This window comes from Homo sapiens, chromosome 5, assembly GCF_000001405.40.
Source record: "Homo sapiens chromosome 5, GRCh38.p14 Primary Assembly".
NCBI lineage: Eukaryota > Metazoa > Chordata > Mammalia > Primates > Hominidae > Homo > Homo sapiens.
This window is the reverse complement of record NC_000005.10, coordinates 83,922,329-83,928,064: the sequence shown is the minus strand read 5'-3', so window position 1 is coordinate 83,928,064 and position 5,736 is coordinate 83,922,329. Positions and strand designations below refer to the sequence as shown.

The window sequence follows — 5,736 nt, the reverse complement described above, 5'->3', positions numbered from 1 at the left end:
AATATGGTATCAGAACAGTAAATCTGACTCACGCACTATGAGCAGAATTCCTGGAACTTCTAGTCTCTTCAAATTCCTTCTTTCTAGCTCAAAAAAGTCTGTGGAAAAATTCATCTATGCATTTTTCCTTTTCTTCCATCTTGTGACATTTACCATTTCCTCCATCATTTCGAAAACGAATGATCTAGTCTTTTACATTGGTATCATTGTAGCTGCTCATGCACTCTGCTCTAACAAACTCCACTTGTGCCAACAGAAATACCCCTTTTCCCTCGTTCACTTCTGTTACTTACTCCATCAGTAGACCACCACCTGGTACTGATCCACTACCCCATTCCTCATAAAGCTATCTGCTCTCATCCATGTTTTCATGTTTCCATGGCCCTATGCATCTAGTTGTTTTATTCCTGGAGCTCCCTGACTTTTAATGGATTCCTAAAATCTAGGCCTAGAAATTACCAGAATGCCCACTATGCTGTAATCAACTCCTTACCACCACCACCCCTGGCCATCCAACAGTCAAGCATTGCTTCCTGTCCATCTCCTTTTAAACACTAACAATTTCCTTCTTTCTAGTGGGGCGTTTCTTTTCCTACCCAGTAAGCTGCCCAGCGGGGAAGGTGGTCTTTGTGGCCCCTGAAGGCAGGGAATGTCAGTCTTGCAAATACACTACCCTCTTCATGTTTTGCCTTGCCTTTTTCCTGAGATCCCGCAGACGCTCACTCAAGGAGCTCCCCCTGGTGGCCTTGCTCATTAAGACAGATCTGAATTGGCAATGGTCAAACAGTAGCCTCTTCAGGAATTCCTGCTACACTATGGATTGCTGCTGGAAGGAATGGAAAAAATATAGAGGTTAAAATGGCATCTCAAAAAAGCTAGCAAGAGAGAATGTTTTTTTTTATTCTTTCAAAGATGGAAGTAATAATTGTCTCCCTTTAAGACCTGCTTATTACACCACATATTTTGTCAGATAACTTTTAGGAAAAGCAATTATCAAGAAGCATGTAAGTCTTAAAAAATAAATAAATAAATAAATAATGGTTGGGAAAGTACACGGAGGTGCAGAGGAGTGCTAGAGAGGTAATCCCATATGTGTGGACCTAAGGAGTGTTCTACAGTATGAAAAGAACCTGGTCACTGTGATAATATGACTGTATTTTGCAGGTAGGGGAAACTAAATTTTCAGGGAATATATACAGTAGAAAATAATACCTCATAAAATCACTGTGGAGGCAACATTGGGATGGAGTTGGGCGGTAACTGTGAAGGGAAAGGAGATATCTCACAGTAAGGAAAAGTGCCTGTTTGTCAAAAGCAGGTAAGGATTTTAAGATGTTTGAAAAACATCAACCACAGAATTGAGTTAGTGAGATTTTCCATGGCCCTATGCATCTAGTTGTTTTATTCCTGGAGCTCCAGGACTTCCAATACCACCACCAACAACAACAATGCTTGTGTCTGGAGCAATAAAATTCCCGTTTCAAGCAATAAAATCCTCTCTTGTCTATCCTGCTTCTTTGAAATGACTTATTCTCTTAAAGTGTTCCATTAGAGAAGGAGTCGGCCACCTACAGCTAGTGAAACCAGCTTCTCAGGAGTGTGTGTGTGTGTGTGTGTGTGTGTGTGTTTTCTGCCCTTGTTCCACTTAGCGGAGTATGCTTCTTATATTCCCTCAAAAAATCAGAACAGATTGTCATTTTGTTCAGAGAAAGACTTGGGGTGCAACGCTAAAAATTCCTGTTGGAGATCTTTCCGTTTGTGATGTATTTTGACCAAGTGAGCTTTTTATCTTTGCCTCAGTAACCTTCGCCTTATCACTCCACAGGAGCCAGCTGCCTTCCTTCAGGTGTCATTCTGACAGACACAACAGACAGCCCTCTCCCTTCCTATCACACATTTATCTAGACTTCCTTGGAGTGAGGAAGCTTTCTCTTTCTCAGGCTATTTACTCTCAGAGGCAAAGGAAAAGTCTTTGCTTCAAAGATTGAGCTGCTATTTCCTGCAGTCAGAGCCACACAGGCTGGAAGAGCACATTGAAGCCTGGTAATCAGAGATTCTTTCATGCTCCACATTAAATAGTGACACGCATAGAGTTGTTTAAAAGGTGCACAACCCAGTATATTTCATTGCAATATCTACACATTAATGTAGTTGAAAGTGGATTTGGAAGTGAGGAATAGATTTAAAGTACAACTTCATGACTCTGCATGAATTTGTCTGGTTTAGACCAGTCTGTTCTAGCTATGCGGAACCACAGCAATAATCAGGCCATTCATAAAGCAGTGTGTGTTCATTGTGGCAGCACATTTTACTTAAAATCTTTTAAATTATGCCATAAAGAATTTGGGCATAAGTCCATTTCAAACCCTTACACTGTCTCAGGGGTGGCCAACATAAAGATTTGTGCCAAAAAATGCCGTCTGGGTTAATTTTAAGATTCCTTTCCCCACCCCCACACACCACATTCATGATTTTATCCACTAGCCACCTAAAAAAACCTACCTACAAAATTCCACCATATGCCAGTCCTGTCCACACCTTCACAAAAACCAACATAATAGAAACTATTTTTCTAAACCACATCTGGAGTCATTACTTAGACCCGCACTTGCATTCTCCCAAGTCACATACTATCTTACCACAAAAGACGATATGGGATGCTTGACATTCTCTTTTTATAAGGTCACCAATCCCTGTGATATGATATGATCCTTGAAACAGTTCATTGTCTCAGACTGTGTAAGAAGTCAAAGAAAGGGAGTGTTAATAGACAAATGAATGTTACATAAAATAAAAATGCGTAGCTTTAATATTTATTGTACTTTCAGCAACACTGAAGGAAGCCCTCATATCTTTATCTCATTTAATTCTGACAGGAGGGCTATGTGGTAGACAGTAATATTGTCTCCATGTTGCATATGAGGAAACTGAAGTGCAGCATGTTTAAGTATACTATTATAATAGAATGGAACAAGGCCCTGTGCCCACACAATCTGGCCTTGAACTCATTCTTAGTCACTATGTTTATGTGACAAGCTTCAATTCATTCATGAAAAATTCTGCCTTCTATACCGTGCTAAGCTTATTCAGAAGTTTAAAAAGAAAAGGACAAGAACAAAAATTGTATCATTGGTTTCATGTCAAAGTTTATTTTCGAAATCAGTTTGTAACTTTAGATAGGTACAATTTTTCCCTTGTCTCCTGCTTTCATATAACTAGAATTCATAAGACTCTATTCCAGAGACCTTTCTCATAAGGCTTAGATGTTTGGGATATGTATGTAAGCAAAGGAGAATTTTTCAATAGAAACTTAAAATGCTAAGACAGGTACATTCTTCATTCACAAATGTTGACTACTGAGGATATCTTTTGCTTAAGGTGAAGTGCTGGGCAGTATATAAAGCAGATTAAACTAAACACATTGGCTGTGATATCTTGCACTGGGCATCAAGTGGACCTGCGCCAGTCAGAGACGGCAGGAAGCTGCATGTCAAAGGGCAGCTGTCAATGTCGGATACACTGGAGGACATCTCCACATGCAGTGAAGCCAGACATGCCTGTTCTCAGGGACTCCACCAGCCCAAGTCCTTTCTTCCCTATGGAGCTTGTCTGCAGATTTCCTCCTTATCTTTCAAAGTTCTAGAAATACACAATAATGACTGCAGCCTGTCAAGGACTGTTTTTCCAGCTTGAATCCAGTAACCAAAGGCATCTGCCACATGTTGTTTGATTTCCTGGCCTCCCTCAGCACCCCCACCTCATCACCAAAGCCATTTTAATTAAAAATGATGCAACATGCCTCCAAACCTTCATTCCATTCCTCTTTACTCAATTTCATTCAGAGTTCCACTCCTTAAGAAAAACACATTCCTCAGTTTTTTGTCCATTTTGCTAATCCACTGTTCACTCCACCTGTGACAAAACTAGGGGTAGAGGGCTAGGGTGGAGTCTACTTCTGGTGAATAAGATGCAGTGGAATAATCTCTAGAGAGGGAGATAAACTCAAATTATACTATAAGCAATTATAAGGAAATGCAAGTCACACACACACACACACACACACACACACACACACACACACACACACTGCTCTGGAAGCACTGAGGAAGAAAAAATTCAGTCTGCCAGGAAAAAATTGCAGAGTCCAGGAAAGCAGCACAGATGTGGTGCCATCAGGACTAGGCTATTGGCAGAGAATTATGCTGAAAAGGTGAACTGAACCTGGATTTGGAAGAAACTTAAATGCCCTCATTTGGGGCATGGACTTATCTTTAAGCAATGGGGAGCCAATGAAGACCTTTAACCAAGGTACCTCAGAATATATTGCCTTTACTTACTGTTAAAATAAAGGCCAAAGTAATAGTGTCTTAAACAATGTGAAAATTTATTCCTCTCCCTCACAGCAATCCAAGGATAAGTAATCCAGAGCTGTTAGGGCAGCATCCCATTGCTGGAGTCCCAGGCCCCTTCCACCTTGTTGCTCTGCCACCTTAAGCAGGTATCTCAGATGGTTGATGCAGCCCCCCACCATCACATCGGCATTCTAGCCAGCACTAAAGGAGAACAGGGCAGAGGATGAAATAGTGCTTTTGTTTTCAAGTCCATGAGCCAGAACTTGCACCCACCAATTCTTTACATAGCCCCTTGGACAAAGTTTAGTCACATGGTCACACCTAGCTACAAAGCAAGCAGGGAAATGTATTCTTCAGCTTAAGTGTTTGTTACATCAAAGGAGGAGAAGATAGATATTAGGAAACAGCTAGCATTCTCTGCTTTACAAAAGAATAAGTTCAGTGTTTTTAGATACATACTTTTAAAAAATGATTAGAGTGTCTGGAGAGAAGGAGGAGGTCAGTTAGAAGAATATCTAGCAGGCTGGATGTGTGCTGATGATATGATTAAAGCAGGGATGGTAGAAACAGAGAAGAGGAAGATCATGTTGTTGGCCATACATCAGAAAGGTCCAGAAGCTGGCATGTCCAGCATAGAGGTAAGTATTGCCAAAAGCATGGATTCTGCCTACTTTACTAAATTGCTCCATTGAGCAGCAGCAGCCTCAGAACAGCCACTTCAGGCAATCCTCTTTTGTGATACGATATAAACTCATGCTCTATTCTGGTCACTGTGAACTCAGTTGCTGCTTCCCTTTGCTCAGTATCACAGTGCCCTCCTGAGCTCAAAGTGGCACATCGGGCTCAGGCTTGCGTGATGAGCATGTTGAACACAGGTGGTAATTAGTAGCAGGAGCTTCATACATTGTTGCCTTGGGGAGACTTCCCTCTATAGAGTAACTGTAGCCGAATTGTTACCAACATTTTTATTTTTCAGGCTGACTGATATAATGCACTCTGAATTATGAAGCCATAAAACCATTTATTCATATTCTTTAATGGACAGAGGGAAAAGCATAACCTTCGTCCAGCTGTCTGATGATTCCCAAGATCTAAATTAGGCATGTACATGCATGTTCACTGCTAATATTATTTGGCTACAAATCAAGAGTTCTTTTCACCTCTATGTGTGCATGAAAAGAAGAATGTAGAACACAGTTATACCAAAAGTGTTATACACTTCACATAACTATTCAAAGCCTGGGTGTACATTTTATAAGCAATGTGCTCAAATTCATAGTTGAATGAATTATTTTGTGATTGTAAACACAGATTGATCTCATTCAAAAATCTACTATTAGTGAATATATTGAGAAGCTGCCATCGAGAGAGACTTCTACCTAGG

The 5,736-nt window shown here is 40.6% G+C and overlaps 1 annotated feature.

Moving 5' to 3' along the window:
- Positions 332-833: an enhancer, noted in NCBI's record as "NANOG hESC enhancer chr5:83223051-83223552 (GRCh37/hg19 assembly coordinates)". NCBI's record gives its function as "activates a minimal SCP1, AML or CMV promoter by ChIP-STARR-seq in primed H9 embryonic stem cells {active_cell/tissue: H9 hESC(primed)}" and the evidence as "EXISTENCE:reporter gene assay evidence [ECO:0000049][PMID:30033119]".